Source organism: Homo sapiens, chromosome 8 (assembly GCF_000001405.40).
Source record: "Homo sapiens chromosome 8, GRCh38.p14 Primary Assembly".
Taxonomy (NCBI): Eukaryota; Metazoa; Chordata; class Mammalia; order Primates; family Hominidae; genus Homo; species Homo sapiens.
In genome coordinates, this window is record NC_000008.11 from 58,838,396 (window position 1) to 58,857,415 (window position 19,020).

The following is a 19,020-nucleotide window of genomic DNA, read 5'->3' on the forward strand; positions in this document are numbered from 1 at the left end:
ACACATACCCATTCACATCACTCAAACACAGGCTTTTCTAAGGGACACATTGTTTTGTTATTTTTTTTTCCCAGATGAAACTGCATATTTCAAGTAGTCTTCATATTCATCCTACTCCCAACTTTACTCACCTAGCTTTGAAAAAAGTTGGCTCTTTTTATATTATTACACTATTAAATACAACCCCTTAACATTCCTAACTTTTTCTCTTACACTGTAACTGTGTCAACAGCAGATTTCTCTGGTAGTAACACTATTGGATGAACAATCTAACTTGTTTTCTTCTAAGGAAGTTATCCTTGTCTTTTTTTTTTTTTTTTTTTTTGAGATGGAGTCTTGCTCTGTCGCCAGGCTGGAGTGCAGTGGCGTGATCTCAGCTCACTGCAACCTCTGCCTCCCGAGTTCAAGCAATTCCCCTGCCTCAGCCTCCCCGACAGCTGGGACTACAGACGCGCGCCACCACACCTGGCTAATTTTTTGTATTTTAGTAGAGATGGGTTTTCACCATGTTGGCCAGGATGGTCTCGATCTCCAGACCTGGTGATCCACCTGCCTTGGCCTCCCAAAGTGCTGGGATTACAGGTGTTAGCCACCGTGCCCAGCCATCCTTGTCTTTCTAATTATGGCTTTAAAACCTCGGGGGCAGCATGCCCAATAAATAAAGTCAAATGGCTTTTGACTTTGTCCCTAGATCTACGGAATGCTGCCAGGAAAACCCAGCAATGCTCATGGTTTAAAGAATGGTATGGTCTAGACCCTAGATCAGTGCTGTCCAATGGAACTTTCTCCAATGATGGAAAAGTTCTACGATTTGCACTATTCTATATGGCAGCCACTAACCATATAAAGCTAGTGAGCATTTGAAATGTGGCTAGAGTTAATCAGGAGCTAAATTTTTAACTTTGTTCAAATTTAAATAGCTACATATGACTAATGGCTACCATATCGGAGAGTGCACCTCCAGAAATTAGATTCTAGAGAGTTCTAGAAAAGGTTTTTACTCAATTTAAGAGTAGATTCTATTTTCTCCCATGTTCCTAAAGTATGAATATTTTGATAATTTTAATTGTTATTCTGATACAACTGGGAAAAAACACATTGAACATATTTAAGATGGCTGCATTTGAATATTATCTTTGTTACTAACTAGATGTGATATCAATTCATCCACCTCTAAAATAAAGCATTTTGGATAGGATTTCTTTCCGGCTCTAAAATTATATGAGTCTACATGAATACAAAATAGGGCTGCATCTGAAGGATTCAATTTCCACATGCCTTGCCCCCTAACGAAGTGTCAATGCAGCTTCTGTACCCTCACCTTCTATTGTGGTGGTTGTAGTTGCCTTCTCTCTGCAGATATAATGTAATATGTATCTTATTTAGACAAATTCCTAGATGGGATATTTGTGTAAAATAACTGCCACCATTGGAGATGAAGCATGATGTACAGAGAGGTCTGTGGATATGATTTCAGAGGAACTCGCTTCATGCCTTCTTTTTATTATTTTTAGCTGTTACCTTGGTTAAATTAATTTCTCCGGGCCTCTGTTTCCTCTAGTGAAAACCAGGTATGGTGCCATTTTATAATGACTAAGATGGTATATATTTATATATGTGTAGAAGTTTAAAAGCGTATTCAAATATCAATTATGACAAGGTATAAACTTTCAAAATAATTCACTGAATGGGTGGATGGAAAATACTTTAATATTAATATGTGATACCTTATAATCAGTATGAAAGATATACCTAAGCACCGAAAAGAGATAAGCAAAAGCTAAGTGATTTCTTTGTCTTTGTCTTTATTGAGAAACCTATTAAAAAGAATATCATTCTGAAATTGTCTACTGAAGCAGATCAAAGAACCCCAGGGGGACAGGATGCTGTGAACCAAGTTGACAAGCTAATGTAGATTAACACTAGATGATAACTTCCCTGAGATGGATCAGAGAGGTGATCCTGTGAAGTCACTGGCCACCATGTAAATCTGTCAGAGACTCAGCATGTCTGGTGCTTGATATTCGACAAACTGGCATAACAATGCTATATTAAAACACATAGGCATATATATGACCTAGAATGGTGCTCCTCAAACATGGCTGCACATTAGAGTCACCTGGTCAGCTTTTAATACCCTGATGTCCAAGTCTTACCCTACACAGATTAAAGCAGATGCCTATGGGTGGGAGACTGGCCTCAGTCACACCCTCTGAACTCTTCCAACTGGCATTTTGATATCTTGAGAGACAAAACAAACAAGCAAAATTTTTCTGTGCCCCAAGGCTACCTATGGCCATATTTTTCTCCTTTTCACAACCAAACTCCTCCAAGTGGTTGGCTGTGCTGGCCTGATGCAGCCTCTGCAACCTACTTCCGTGTGCTTTCCTGTCGATTAGCTCTCAATTAGATCTCCACTGGCCACACTGCTGAATCCAGTGGATGCTTGATGCTTGAGTCTCCCCCTTACCTGATTCTCACTGTGAGGGCCCTCTCTCCCACTGGTTCCCTGACACCACCCTCTCTGAGTTTTACTCCTACCTCACTGGCCCTTGATGTTTCCAGAATCATTTTAGGGTCATCCTTTTCCACCTGGCCATTAATTGGTAGCGATTCCTGATTTGTTTTGCAGTAAACTCCCTTCTCTTGTGAGTGTACTTAGGTAATCTCACATGTAAGCAGGGTTTCCATTACTATTTGTGGGTGGATGGTGGTCAAGTTCATGTTTCCCTTGAGTTTTGCACACACAGAAACAACTGTTATTTGACATCTCTATTTGCAAGTCTCAAAGATATTTCAAACTTAAGTCAAGCTTATTTAGCTCTGTATATTTCCATTCATAGCACGTATCAAGCTTGTAATTACACAATAATGTATGTGGTTGTTAGATCTACTCCTGTTCGTGTGTAGGCACTATGAAGGCAGGGGTTGGGCCTGGTTTTGCCCACTAGCACGTATCATGGTCCCTGATACGTAGTAAATGCTTAACGTTTGTTATAGTAGTAATAAAAATATTAATGCAAAATGATAATATTTTGTAAACATGGCCACTCTTACATTCACAATCATAAAATATTTATTTAAAAGGAGACAAAAGGAGTCAACAAGGTCCACAATGAAGAATATTAAAGATAGAGTGGTCAAGGGTACAGACTTTCAGTTATAAGATGAATAAGTTCTGGGGATCTAACATACAGCACAATGACTATAGTTAGTACTGTGTTGTACACTTGAAATTTGTTAAGAGAGTAGGTTTTAAGCGTTCTCATTTTAAAAAAAGTGACTAGGTGAGGTGACAGATAGGTTAATTAGTTTATTGTGGTAATCATTTCATGACGTACACATATATCAAAACATCACATTGTACACTTTAAATACATACAATTTTATTTGTCAATTATACCTCAATAAAGCTGCAAAAAGAGTAATCCTCATATTTCATCAACGATTGAGAGAAATTGGGAACAAAGTACAGAAATAAATGAATGCTTATTCATATGGAATATTACCTAGACTCATTTTAAATTTTAATTAAAAAATTAATGATCTGACACATTGAAATCTCCATGATTACAGATTATATCAATCTTTCTGGAAAATAATCAAATGTCAATCATAGAGATAAATTTCCTATCATGCAATTTAAATGCTCTTATTAAAAGATTTCCCCACATTATTTAAATAGTTTTTGTGATGGTTAATTTTAGGTGTCAAGTTGATTGGATTAAGGAATTCCTAGAGAACTGGTGAAATATTACTTCTGGGTGTGTCTGTGAGGGTGGTTTCCAGAGGAGACTGGGGTGAGTCAGGAGACTGGGGTGAGTCAGCAGACTGGGGTGAGTCAGCAGACTGCGTGGGGAAGACAGACCCTCAGTGTGGCCAGCCATCCTTCAATAGGCTGGGGTCCTGGATAGAACAAAAAAGACAGAAAAAAGACAACTTTTTCTCTCTCTCTCTTTCTCTGTCATACATGTGCTCTTTGTCCTTCTGCTTTCTACCATGGGATGACACAGCAAGAAGGCTCTCGCCAAGGGCCTCTTGAGCCTCTAGAATTGTAAGAAATATATCTCTGTTCTTTATAAATTACCCACTTTCAGGTATTCTGTTACAGCGGCACAAAATGGACTAAGACAATTTCCCTCCTCTATTGTCCAAAATTGTGTTTGAAACACTGATCATCATGCTTATCTCCTTTTTAAGTTGGTATTTGGACAGTATGGTACGGGCTTTAGATCTACTGGAAGTGTGATTCCTTGCCATAACAGGTAGGAGGACAGTCATCCTCTTGCATTTGACAACAGGCCCTACTTTTAGGGATGTCCTGAAGAAACAGGAGAACTTGTTACTGCCAGTAAGAGGCTCAATCATATGAAAACCACCAGTTATCATTTTGAGGCAATGGATAGCAACCCTATAGAAAAGCCTAAATAATTCCACGCAGCCAATCCATTTTGTTAGTTGCCTGAAGGCTTTACCTATTTTCCTGGTTTGTCCTGGAGGGCTAGCTGGATGCAATGTTGCTCAAAGTTTTGTTTAATAGAAGCAAGTATTTCATGACTTCTGCCTCCACATTTTCAAGGCTCAGGAGACATCATTTATGCATTATAGAGTGTAACTCTGGGGCTTCCATTGTATATCTGATTGAGTACCTGAGAGGCACTAGACTCTAAAGCTATGGTGTTGCCCCCATTAAAGCAGACTACCAGCCAGTCTTATAAGATTATATCATCTTTGTCTTTGTTGTGCCTAAAAACAAGAGCATATTGATCTGCTTTCAGTCAACATCACACTATGCCTTCCCTTTAAATACTCATGTTAACTTTGGTTTGAATTTTCTGCCATGCAAGAAAACTGGCATCTGAGAAGACCAATCTAAAGGATACACATAAAATATTCATTACTCAAGATTCACTGCCTCTCCTTCAATAACTAAACTAGATCACCAAAGCTAGATTCTTGGAACATAATATTCTGAACATTTATAAAATTGCCCTTGTAGAACTGAACTATAATCTAAGACAATGCCCTGACTTCCACTGAAGACTTACATATGGGGGAAAAACTATGAATGAAAGATCTCCATTTTTTATGAGATAAAATGTACTTTGGAGGGAATTGTTTATTATATTGCTCAATGTTCCTGCATAAAGGACTAGTGAATATTCATAATATCTTTGCTCTTTATAAATGCAATAGAATGGAATGGAAACTCCTTGTTGTAGTTTGATCTCTCATGTACCCAAGTACTTGGGCTTTGCTCTATGAAATATAAAGCTGTTTGTCTTATGAACACTGGGCATTGTCCCCTGATCTGTGGGGATCTTATTTTTTATTTTTCATTTTTCTTGTGTGGAAAGGATGCAGAAATGAGCTGCCATTTTAGATTCTGTGTAATGAACTGGGAATTTGTAAGGCCTACTTTTGGAAGTAGCTTCATCACATGTGTGAAAAACACATGATCATTGTTGTGTCCAAAGCCTCCTTGAAGACAGAAATGCTGCTGTAATTTGGATCCATTTTCATGTCAGTAACGGATGCACTTTGAAAGATACTTGGCTCTTATGACCACAAACTATTTGGGATAAACACAATGATGATAGATATGACTGTGGTAGAAAAATTAGCTAAATGGATTTATAATCTGTCCCTGGACCTTAATTTTGGATATTGTCTGGATCCGGACTTCTTGCATAGATGGATGGAAGCTTATAATTTTAAATCCTAACTTTCTGAGAGTACTTGACTTTTAAAGTCTAGAGCAGCACTGTCTCGTAAAATTTTCTAGAACGATAGATATGCTCTCTGCCGTGTCTAAAAGGGTAGCTGCTAACCACATATGGCTATAGGCCACTTGTAATGTGGCTAGTACAACTGAGCAATTGAATTTCTAAATTTAATTTTAATTGGTTAAATTTAAATGGAAGCAGTCACACATGACTAGAAGTCACTGGATTAGACAGCACAGTATTTTGTACTGGACACTGCTCTAGAGTACATACAGTATTTGTAAAGTTACCAGGGTGCTAAGACTGGAGAGTTAAATTTTATTCCATCATAATCTTTAGAATATGGAAGAAACCATATAATGCACAAATGTGAATTCCTTATGATGACAAGCACATTGAAAGTAAGGAGCAGGTCCCATTAATCTTCACGTCCTTCATAGCATCGGTACAGTGTTTTACATGCAATGGATCATTATACATTTCTGCTCTGGTATTCTACAGCAGTGGGCAGAGGCTTAGACTTATGAGGCAAAGAAAATTTGAAACAAACATAGAAATTGTATGAAAATCATAGCAACTAAAACATGGCTGAGCTGAGGCCCTAAATGTCGCCCTGATTACCCACGCACTGATTTCACCATCAGTTAAAGCACTAACGAATACATAAGTGCACAAATACCTAAATAAATATTATTTATAAATAAATATTACACATAAGCTTTACACAGATACACGTGCTTCATGTAACTTACTCGTAAGACATAGATTTATTTCTCAAATCCCTAGAGGTGCCTGAAGGCTTCTGGTAATTCACCCCTGTCATGTCTTATTGGTTAATTATAGAGATGTATTTAACTTATTTATCACAAGAAAACAATAATCTTTCACTTTAAAAAAGCATGTGCTAATGGTGTTGCTTAGATAACAGTATTTCTTAAGAAGCCAGAGCACAGGAGTTAAGACTATCAAAGAAAGAGAATCACTGATATTGAAATGTCCCTGGAGAAGTTAGAAACGTCTATAAGCATATTTAAAATAAACTGCCGCGGTCCCAAAGCCTTTAATGGAGCTGGGAGAGCTGTTTAATGCACACTATCTTGCAGTAATCGCTGTAGTTTAAAATAGATTTTAATCAAGCACCATCTGCATAATAGGCTGAACAAACAACATAGAACTCCACTTATAACTCTTATCATATAAAGTAAATATTATAAACTCCTCTCCATAGAAACAGGGCATATAACAGCACTTTTTGTGATGTTTCAGTGAGTGAAAATTTTGCTACTTAAATTCATTCTCTCTTTTCTAAACTATGCCATCTAAAATCCCCTTATGAGAATAAATTCAAATAAGCATGGAAAGTAAGTCATCTAGTTACTGTGAAATCAGCAAGGCTGTAATACTTCTTTCATTTTACAATTGGGTTTATTATTATCTTTAATAACGATACACTCTATGACTCAAAACATCAATTATAGAAAAATGCATATGAAGTGCTATACTTTTGAAATGATTCACAAGTGTGGGGCATTGTATCAGTGTCATAGTTTGTAAAGCAATTTCATTTTTAAGGATCTTTGATTCTGCCAAACATAGCTGAGTATGATTTTTGAATGAGTTTAGCAAAGGCACTCAGCGGCCTTATGTGAAATAGGAAGTCTGGGCTAATGTCCAGAAAAATCACTTTAAAGTGATTTTTTAAAGAGAAAAAAGGTTGGTTGTTATTTTATACACCTACTGGTTAAATTTATCAATTTTAGGAGATCCACTTGATCTTTTCTAAATTCACTGATGTAGGGAAATATGTTTACTTCTTATTCTTTTGGATTGAGGGCTTTTACAGGCTTACAAAGAAGGCAAGCTGTTGAGGTGGGGACCCGCTGAATAAAATGCTAGGCGGCTATGTTAAGTCTCATTCTGTTTTTATTCCATGAATTAATTAAGTATGCTCAGTCATCTAGGGTATGTCTATATCCTGGCATAATTATTTACTTGAATAAATTTTAGGAAAGATGATTTGGAACCAGGTACTAAATGGCTGACTAAATTTTATCATTTTCTCCTGAACTAGTTTATTAGGCTCAGCCTTAACGAATAGAATACTTTTTTTTTAAAATAAATAAGGGTCATACATTAGTTTAATTGCTGTGATCTAATACATACTTTAAAAGTATCATACACATTATACTATATAAAGTGAACAGTTACAATATAAGTACAGTTCAATGATGACAATACCAGACTTCCAAGTCCCAGTTTTAAGTATTCTGTCCCATTGCTAGTTAGATAAAGTAACCTGACATTTGGTTCTAACACTGTTTGATTTCACTTAATATTTGTAGAAACCTGTCTGTTTCTCATTTCTACTTTATTCCAGGAGTCTTCTTGTCTTCAGAGCAGTGGTAAATAAAAACTCCTACTCTAAAGGCTTATTTAATTGCTGCTCTAGTGATTTATCCTATTTGCTTTGAGAAAAAAACCTCCTGCTTCTGTCTAGTGTGGCAGAGCACATGCATTGATGAACTAGCAAATTAGTAACAAACTCTTAAAGGCAAAAACGAAGTGAACTCAGAGACGACGCGTGTATTAAAGGCAGCTTTCATACTGAAGATATTGTTGAACCTCGTGTGAATTTGAGTTAAGAGTGCAATAGACAGAAGACAAACCCCATGCCTTACCAAAAGCAAGATGTGTAATGGGAGTGGTCCTGTTAAATCAAGACGTAAAAGATTAGACTGTCAGTGCAAGGGTGAAGTAACATTCCCTTGTATGTGACCTCCCAGAACATGCAAGAATGGCTGCTCTGGAACCTTGTTACAAATGCAGAGTGGAACAAAATCTCTTGTGTTCATTCACAAACAAAAGCCAGCATTTGCAAGATTTGTAGCCTGAACATACTCTATGTGGGTGGTCTGAAAAATTCAGGCCAAGTGTGGTTCTTGATTCTAATGGTTCAAAATATGTGGCAGAAACAAATATAAATCATCCCCAGAGAAATCCACCTTTAAACAAGCTCTAAAAGAATTCTTACAAAGTTTTCATAAATATTAATTCTCATTTCAAAAGTACAAAAAGCAAAATGAAACAAGCTATTAAAACCAACATATTCTGACTTCAAAATACTTCATGTATTGAAATTAGCAAAAGAGGGTATAAAACAAATATGTTGAACATGCTTACAAGAATAAAAGAGATTAAATACATGGGTAAAGAGCAAGCAACTAAAGAAAGAAGTCCAAACTCATTTGAGAAGGAACCAAATGAAACCAAAAATATAAAATATTTGAGATTAAAATTGCAATAGACCATTTCAGATTAGGTATAGCTGAAAAGAGAATTACGAGCTGGAAAATAAGTTAAATCAGAATGTAATACATAGGGGCAAGGAAGTAGAAAATATGAAAAAGAGTCATGGAAAGGAGAAAGTCTAATATTCATCCCCTGAGAATAACAGCATGAGAAGGGAGCAAGAATGGGATAGAGGCAGTATCTGAAAAAAATAAGGAATGAAAATTTCCCCAAAATGCTGATAGACAGAAATGATTACAATCGGAATGCATGCAAAGAAACCCACACATATCACCATGAAGCTGCAGGACACCAAAGACAAGAGAAGATCTCAAAAGCAGTCAGAGAGTAAAGTCAGGTTACTTTCAAAGGAAAGACAGTCAGGCAGTAAATTCTCAAAAGCAATAGTGAAAACAAGGATTCAGTGAAATAATATAATATCTTCAAAACGCTGAAAGAAAATAACTGCCAATCTAGAATTCTATACCTAGCAAATGTGTTTTTTAAGGTAAGCATGTTCCCTGCAGACCTTCATGAAAGAACATTTTAAAGGCATAAAGAAAAAGATGTCAGGTGAAAGAAATATATATGTGAATAAATCCAAAGGAAAAATAACTTCATAAAATAATTAAAATAGTGTTTCATGAGGTTTATTCAGTTACAGAATTCAATTAAACTATAATTAGAATGAACAACAATAACAGCTCCCAATATAAATTGAACGGAAGGTGTATGTAGTTAAAGTAATCTAAGAAAAAAGGTAAAGATATTGGTAAATTTTAGACCTCTATATAGCTGTATTCCAGGGACAGCTACTGAAAGAAGAGAAAGAATATAAAATCTCTAATCTCAAAATGGGAAATTATGTAATGAGAAAAATAAGAGCAATCTTAAAGAAGATGAGGAAAAAAAAGAAACATAAAATATTTGTGGCATAAACAGAAAGTAACATACTTAGAAAAACAAGCCTATTTTCATATTTATAGTAAGGTAAATGCAGTAAAGATTTCATTTTAAAGTAAAAGCTCATTTAACTACACGAAATTTATAAGAGACACTCAGATAAAACATGGATATTTTCAACAGAAAAGCAGAAAGTAAAAGGATAGAAAAATATATAATGTGATTCTTACCCACAATTTCCTTAAAGAGAAAACTGTGCCAAAAATGTGATTGTAATGTCAGATACTTTATGTGTCTTAAAGTATCTCTTATATTACAAATACGGGATTACAGGCTTAGAACCACAAGCTGCCTAAGTTTGTATTTCTTTGATGCTTTACTGTGTCTCATTATGACTTAAGGCTGTCAACACAGTTTCCTAGCAATCAAAATCGCGGGTAGTGTTTATAAGGTGATAATTTATTTTACTGATGTATTTACAATATTCCTGTCTGTCAAAACAGACTTATTTCATTTAATTGTTCAATTAGATGAGCTGGAATCAATATATAATTGCTTAAAGACAGCACAAAGTGTTAAGAGGAAAGCTTTAAAAGCTTTTTCTGGTGTGGAACTAAATATTCTTGTTTAGTTCACTTGTTAGAAATGATTTAAATGATCTTTTTGACTTAATGCTATTTCACATTTAACTGGAGCTGTTGCACTACAACATTCCACATAAATCCTACTCACATATAAAGGAAAAAATCCAGTTTAATCCTTAACTGTAATGAAGAATGCTTTAACATTTTCATCAGAGGATTTTTCTAGCTTAAATAAATATAATAATATAACTCAAATAAATGAGTAGGAGGATTTGAATTGGAGACAAGGTGAAAAACAGTGCATAGAATTGGAATGAAGGGTTACTTTTCTTGAGATGGAAAATACACTTAAACTTAACATGAATTCGTATGAATGTTTGTGCAGATAAAAAAGTCATTTTAATGGGTGCAGTCTTAGAAATCAATCCCTAAACTTTCCTGCATTGATAATTCAATAATCTATCACTATAGAATATGAGTTTTACTATGCAATGCTTACACAGTCCACTAAAATGAAGCGTTATAAATTATTTCAAGATGTGGATATTGAATGATTGAATAGGATACCCACTGGCAAAGTTTCATATCAGCATGGAGACATGTAAATTCATGCTTTAGCAAAATTACAAAATATGGACCTAACAGGTTAATAGCAAATGGCAGAACCCATGAATGTTAATTCTATGAATTTCAGATTTCTACCTACTCTTCTACTCATATAAGTGGAAGACTGTGAAAAATGTTATTGTAATTAGGAATAATCCGGTATACAATTTACTGTCAGAGGATGCTACTAATTTTGCATTTAATTTCCTGAAATGTCAGGAATGAATACTGATAAAGACACAATCCAGATACAAAAATTGATCTTTACTATGAGCAGAACATTAATTTTTTTCGCCTTACAATATAGTACATATCATCTGTGTTTAGCAAATTGACTTGAATTATTCATGCATAATCAAAATCTAAATCACTGTCCACAAACAAATTATTAGTGTTCACATTTGGGTTCAGGTACTCATTGGCCATTAGGTGTAATCTAACAGCCAATGAGTACCTGGAGCCATTGGAATAACCTGTATTTTCTGAAGAAAATTATTGCCCTGGAAATGGTCAGCTAAAGGCAAGGCTTTCAGCAACCCAGTCAATTATTTATGAATATCAATTAGTTTCTTCCTGCCTTTTCACCTAACTCATGAGAGGCTGACTCACTGACAACAGGGAGAGACAGTAAGGATGGAGGGATTGGCTTGGGCAGTGTTAGATTCTGCAGCTGTTCTAAAACGTACTTGGGATTTGTTTCAGTCAGGTATGGTAAGACAGAAAACATGGAAATGATGATTGTGAGGAAGAAGTTTCCATTCATAGATCCCTGGAAAGAGAAGGCACAGCAGAGCCCACAGGGCCACCTAGGGAAGTACCCAGGTTGGCCAGGAGACAGAAAGAGGGAGAAGACAGAGCATGCCCAGAGCCTTTACTGGGGATTTTGTGGGCAGGAATAGGCAAGGCAGGCTGGCATGCTGAGTAAGCCTAGGACTGGATAGTTTGAATAACTTTGGCAGGCTATGGGCTGTAAGGAGTGATCCCTAGTTGTCTGACACTTAGCCTAGGGGCGATGTAGGGTAGAGGGAATACTGGCTTCATATGTGAGAGTTTTTAAAGGAGATGTTTTGGGGTGCAGCTGTGAATTGTTGGCTTGTTTATAGAAAGGGGGCTAGCAGAGTGTCGTCTGCAATCTCTAAAAATTAGCTAGCCCTGAATTTCCAGGATTAAGGCTCCAAATGCCAGAACATCAAGAATACAAACAATAGGAAAATATAGTCAATGCAGCAATCTTATCTTTGTCATCAGGCTAAATAAATCGATGAATCACTATCTGGACTGAAAAAATTTAGCGAAGCTACTAGAAAGTTAACCATGTATATCAGGATTGCACAGCGCTGCTTTTGGTAGCATGTTTACAGTTTAATTTTCCAAAAACAAAATTCTCACAATGGTAAAAAGAAGAAAAGGTGGCTGACATAAAACCCATCTTCCTATTCAGATAACTTAAAAGAATGGCTCTGCTGGTGACAGACACACAAATAAACAACTATATTGGTAAGGCGTTAACAAAAGGTATGCAATGAATCACCCAGGAAAGGAGTCATCTAATATCCCTGGCACTTACTTTCCACGTCCTCAATATGAAATGGTTGGGTCAGGTGGCCACAAAGGTTTCATGTAACATCATCACCATACATCTCCTCTCTCTCTCTGTCTCTCTCTCTCTCTCTCTCTCTCTCTCACACACACACACACACACACACACACGACCTTCATTGTACCCCAGTATACTGCCTTCTTAAAATGGTACATTGAATATACAGGCCCAACCTTCTGTGGGCACAAACAACTTTTACGCTTAACACATCTATATTTAAAGGATTTCTCAGGGGCTTTAAAGTGTAATTGGACAAGCAGGTGGTTTAATCCAGTATGTTTGTAACCTCATGCTTCATTAACAAAGCAGGTGTCTCCCTCCAATGTTTCTCGCATGGATGATATAAACTTGTACCCAGCACAGGTCAAAGAAGGTGCCTAAGAATAGTCTCCCATAGGTCCTAAAAATAACTTATTCATACCTTAGAGGTATCATCGCCTTCATCTTCATGCACTGAACTGGATGGTGAAGGAGTTGCAGACTTGCTTCCAGGTGGAGATGGTGAGTTGTGGGGAACATTGCTTCCTCCCATATTCAAACCAAGTTGAGCACTTAGCTGTGACTGGTTAATGGTAGTCAGCTGGCCATGTGGCATCATTCCTGGCTGCTGCCTGATGTCTGCAGGCTGGCCCCTTGGTCTCATGGCTGCCATCTGAGGATGGGAACTGTACTGAGTTCCTTCTGGGTTTCGTATATCTGGCATCTACAATAAATAAATAAATAAATAAATAAATAAATAAATAAATAGGAAAGGAGTAATTTTAACAAATATGTTTTGGGCAAAAAAGTAATAATTCTTTAGATTTCCAGATGTTCTGCTGAGTTACATACACATTTATTTTATCTGGGGTAAAATAATCCTAAAAGTATATATCACCATAAAGGATAGCATAAGACTACCAAAAGACTGGAATTTGAGAATCCAGTTAGCATCATACTTCATTACTCAAGATGTGATTAATTATATTTACAGTCTTTCTACACTAGTGAAATATAGAAATATATTATTTATATATGTATTTGTATATTACAGCATGATCATATTTATATAACGTAAGTTTCAAGATGTTGATGCTCATTAGAGTGTCTGTCAAAATTATTCAATTATTAGTGATTACAATATTCACAAAAATTCATTAAACCCTGTTTGTTTTATCTTCATCATTTAAGAAAGGCTTTGGGAGTTAATAAGTATACTCTTGTACTCAGTTTAAAGCTTTACAGGGTATTACTAGCCAAAATGATCTCCTAACTACCAGACTCAAAACACTGATAGGCTGGTATTAACCAATTATTAATTGACTATTGAAATGACTGCACAGTCAGACTTGAAAGTAAAGCTCTAAAATTGCAAGGTCAACATATTAATCCATTATGCTATCTGAGTCACTGGTTTTTAGCCTTAATGAGACTCACTCTTGTAATTCAAGCAATGAATTTTGTCTCTGCAAGGATTAGAATTAAAAGCATTGGAGGATGAAGCTTTTAAGGTATCTAGAGGTCAAATGTATTGTATAAGAGGAGTATGGAGAATTTCACTTAACATTTCTCTGGCATTTTCAAACTTAAAATAATGGAGAATATTTCATGGTGCTTATTGGAGCAGCTCAGTTTTTTCATCCTGAGGGGAGCTGAGGAATTCAGGCAGGTAGAGGGCACACAAAACAAGAGAGAAAAACAAGAAAACTGTGAGGAAAAAAGATATATGGTTAAAGTTACACGTTGGAAGTGAAAAAGTAATAATGTTACCTTATTCTGTTTCATTAGAAAAGAAAATCCCACAAAGTATCAGATGTTTAGCAATGACCTGTCTGCAAATGTTATTGTGACGTGAAAATACTGTGAAGGCAAATTAAGTAACCTAGTCATAGGTTCTTGTTTTTGTTTTTATGATAGTAAAATCATTTTACACCATTTTCCCTGTAGTCATTTTACCAATCTAGTTAGATTCACCTAAAGCTAAAACTGAGGCTGTCCACAGCCCCCATGTGTGCCCTGTGTTCTTCTCCGGAACGCATTTACTGCCTCCACCATGAGGCCTCTTATTAGTCAATTTCACTCCTTTAGCTCCTTTCCAACTTTGGTTACTTCTCAGTCTTCACGCACAGTTCAAGGTATCCTAGACCTCTGGCTGGCCTCATGATTTGTACCTGCCTTTTCTAAGTCCGAATCAACGTTTTTTCCATTATCCAAACTGTATTCCTCCAAGCCTTCAAAAGTAGTTCAGGATTCTCCTTTCTGTGATGTCCCTCATAAAGCAGCTTTTACTATTCAATGGTGCATGCAAGAGCTGCAAAGGCTCTTGGTGACACTGTCAGTCTATGGAAGAGGAAAACTGGGAGGGGGTGATGATAGTGCAAGCTTGTTGAATGTTTGTGGAATAAGTATATAAATAATTATAAATGAATAAATGAAGGAGTGAAACCCAAAGAGATCAAATGACTTGACCAAAACCAAAGATAAAACCCACCTCTCCTAATTCCAGTCTTTGATACTTCCCACTGTGTTAAGCAGCTGATTCAACATTTTACATATTCCATAAAAAGGATTACAGTTAATTAAAGATACTTAAAAATGCATTTTCAAATGTTGTCTACCCAAATCAACAATGGTTTTATCTAGCCCATTCATGTTGCCTTCAGTCACATTTACTAAAATGGTTGTTGCCTCTTCTTAGATGTACATGTAACTTCTACAATCTGATCTTCTTTATGAAATAATACTAACTTTCACTGATATCCTTAAAGTTGTGCCAAGGACAGAGGGTACCATGAAAATTAGGACTGATTTTTAAAAATACACAGAAGAGACAGTGTATACTAAATTTCTTTTCAGGCCTACTGTCAAATGTCCTCAAGTCCTGTATGTTTTTAGACCCTTAGCATGCAGAAAAGCTCCCATTATGGGCACAGAGTAATGGCTACCTGTAAGTGGACACTATCCTACAGGGGGGCAGTCTTCTTTCCCAACCCTGAACCAAATAAAGCACTAATGTGCATATTCCAACTTATATGTTTTATAGCCTTGTAAATGAAAAGCATTTAGTAGCAAAATCATACTTCAACTAAATGATCTTTCCAAAAGTATGTAACTAATTGCTATCTTTATTTCTCCTTCACATAAATCCCAAGTTACAAAACACGTACAGTCTGTAACATGTCTGTATTGAGCCCATTTCTTCTCATCCTTTCAGAAATCTTGTGGTTTTAATATATCAGAGAGGATGGTTTCTAAATTAATTTTCATGTGGAGTTCCAGATTTATGACTACAACTAAAAGTGTTCCAAAAGCTTGAAGCAATCTTCACTTTATCGCACTTTCTCTCCTCCCCTGTCTTGCAATCTTCTAAGATGTTTTCTCATGTTAATTTGTGTAGTGTGTAGATCTCTGGACACTAAAATCTGCATTCCCACTCTTGCAATGGAAGGAGAAGAAGGTGGGTGTGGCTATGGAAGAGTAAAGTATCAATCTGGGTAAGGATGGTGAAGTACTCAAGAGGGTACCTCTCTTTCCACAGTCTCATCATTAGTTCAATGTATCCTGTCACCAGTGGTGTTAGGTCAGGCAGACAGCTTGAATACCAAATCAAAGCACTCTTTTCCTGTGTGGAGCATGGCAAGCACAAATGAGGGAGCATATCTGTGTCTTCAGTCCTCAGATACACTTACAAACAGTGGGATCTACCCATGGCAACATTTCTGAATTAGGAGGAGTATTTCCACTTACCTTGTTTTCCTAAGAGACAGTTCAGTATTAATCACTGCCTAATGTATAATATGGGGAAAATTAAACTCGATAAAGTTTGATTACTGAAAATATGAATAATTAGTTAGATCATGCAAGTAAGCTAATGTTTTGACTATTGGTTTCCTGCTGTAAAGATATTGATTGACTACAGCTCTGTCATGTCAAATGCAAAACCTGAAGTAGCAGAATATTATTTCCTGTTAATCACCAATATTTTAAATTTATTTTGAATAATTCACTTAAGTCATGCTTAATTGCAATGGTTGTTCTTTCTGATTCTTCTCAACCCCTTCACTGACTTCTCTTTTTTCTACAACGTCCCACCTCTAAGTGATTCCTTAACATGTTATTCTGAGTCACATTTCTTCCACCCAGATAAAATTTGCCATGGTTTTATTAATGGGAAATGTTCTCAACTAAAATGTACAATTCTGACCCAAATTCCAAGCCTAAGTCTGCAATTGCTTGTGAGACATTACTACTTGGACATCATTCTTGCTAGAAATGTGAACAAAGTTTTCTTTCTCAAATCTATTTTTTTTCTGTCTGACCAATATCTGTTGATGACACCTTCATCTTCCTTGTCACCTCTACTCAAAATGTTGCAGTCATTTTTGACTCTTTCCTTTTCTACCAAACTCTTGTGAGTTCTGTTGGGTCTACCCTGAAACATCAATTATTTCCATCTGCCCTTCCACCCGTTTCCACACCCATTCATCTATCCAGGCCTTAATTATCTTTTCACTTGCAATAGCTGCTTAACTAAAATTGGTCTCTTTACATCTACCCCAAAGAGTGGTACAAAATTAATCTTCATGAGCCATGGGCTCAAAAATTCTCCAATGACATCTGTCCCCCAAATTAAATCCAAACTGTTCAGCATGACATGAAACCTTCCAAATGAAACTCACACCTATAACCATCCTTCATCTACTCTATTGTTCAGTCAAATCCAATTGCTCCTTTTTTACCTAAATCTCTCTCCCTTAATCATGCGTCTTTGTTTACGCTGCTCTGTCATTATTCAATTACCATTTTCCGAGAATTTGCTGTCTAAAGTTATTAAAAAGAGGGGAAAAACCCCATACTTTGCTCAGTGATTTGTGGTTTGCCCAGTACTTTTACTTATTGATCCTTGTAACTTCCCTTTGAGGGAGCCATGTAGGAATAGCTGCTTTGCAAAAGCCCACAGAGAGGTTAAATGATCTCAGATCTTTCTATCAACAAAGACTGAAGTAAAAATGAAATATACTTTTTTTACATACTTGTACTTTCCCCACGATTCCATGCTGCCTTTACCATCTTCATATATCCAAACCCTAAATGTACTTTAAAGTCAAGTTCAAAGGTCACCTTATCTATAAGGCTCCAAGAACCTTCTTATTCTGAATTGCCAAAGCATTTTGTTTATACTTTCTTTATGGGACACCACTTTAAAATTTATTTCTTTAACATGTATGTACCTTCTAGATAATAATCTCCTTGATTAGTTCATGACTAATGCATTTTTCAATCCCTCTTGAGATATCTTTTAGTTAAATGGTATTCCAAATATTCAAAAAATATTTGCTGTGTCAGTGTGTAACTAAGGAAATGAATTCATCAGTATAAACTGACTTTAACTAGTCTGATGATTTTTCTTTTTTCCTGGGAACTTCTTAGTCACAAGATGAAAAGACTTGATTAATGTCCATTTCCCTTTGTGGCAGAAGCCTCAAGCTACCCTCCTACACTCATTTTCCTTTTGTGCTGAAAAATGGGCCCCTCTAGCTGGCTCAAGGAGGACATTTGTAGCTTCCTTTGCAGCTATGCATGGCCCTGTGACAATGAAATGTAAGCGGAATCCTCGTGTGGTGCTTCCAAGAAGTCTCCATGAAGGGAGGGGCTCACCTTCCTTTGTTTTTTTTTTTTTCAAGTTCCTGCTGGCAAAAACGTGGAGGTGATGGAGAGAGCTAGGGAAAATATCTTGGACCAAGACATGGCACCATAAGGACGCTGAAGGCACAAGAAAGGAGGCTGAGGGTGTGATTATTCTGGAGCCTGGACAACCTACTTACAGTGGGAGTGAAAGGGAAGTAAATGTCTGTCATTGCAGAATTACTGACATTTGGGGTTTTCTGTTATAGGCAGCCCAACATAATCCTAACTGATACACCCTAACAGATTATAAACTTTAAAAAGCTGGGAGAGAATTTATTTTGTTCACCATTATAGCCCTAGTATCTAGAACAGATCTTGGCACGTAGTAGGAACTCAATACATATTTCTTGAGTTAACACTGAATAGATGTTTAGGTCTGGTACAATTAGAATTGATGATGCCAGCTTCACATAAATAGTTGTTATAAATCCTTAATCTTTTGGGAACTTCATTTGCTAAATTCTAGGGCTCAAATGTCTCAAAGGTAATTTCTCATGTGTGTGTTCCTCATTTTGTTTATTTTCAAGCCTAATGAACTTCATATTTTCTTGGCAAAATGTCCTGCATGTCATTGGCATTTTAGTGTTGCGTGGCTCTTAATATTTATCTCACCATTTGCAAAACTCTGTCCATTTGAAAATGGGTG

The 19,020-nt window shown here is 36.4% G+C and overlaps 1 protein-coding gene across 1 annotated transcript in view, besides 1 other annotated feature; it reads right to left on the reverse strand.

The window, feature by feature from the left end:
- TOX (thymocyte selection associated high mobility group box) overlaps positions 1-19,020 on the reverse strand; it is a 313,736-nt gene that overhangs the window by 32,984 nt on the left and 261,732 nt on the right. The window contains exon 4 of the mRNA NM_014729.3: positions 13,129-13,410. Within this exon, the coding sequence (NP_055544.1) occupies positions 13,129-13,410 (282 nt within the window). The remainder of the gene's footprint in view (positions 1-13,128; positions 13,411-19,020) is intronic.
- Positions 3,087-4,286: an enhancer, noted in NCBI's record as "P300/CBP strongly-dependent group 1 enhancer chr8:59754041-59755240 (GRCh37/hg19 assembly coordinates)". NCBI's record gives its function as "activates an origin of replication core promoter dependent on BRD2, BRD4, P300/CBP, MED14 and CDK7 cofactors, with strong dependence on P300/CBP, by STARR-seq in HCT116 cells {active_cell/tissue: HCT116}" and the evidence as "EXISTENCE:reporter gene assay evidence [ECO:0000049][PMID:35650434]".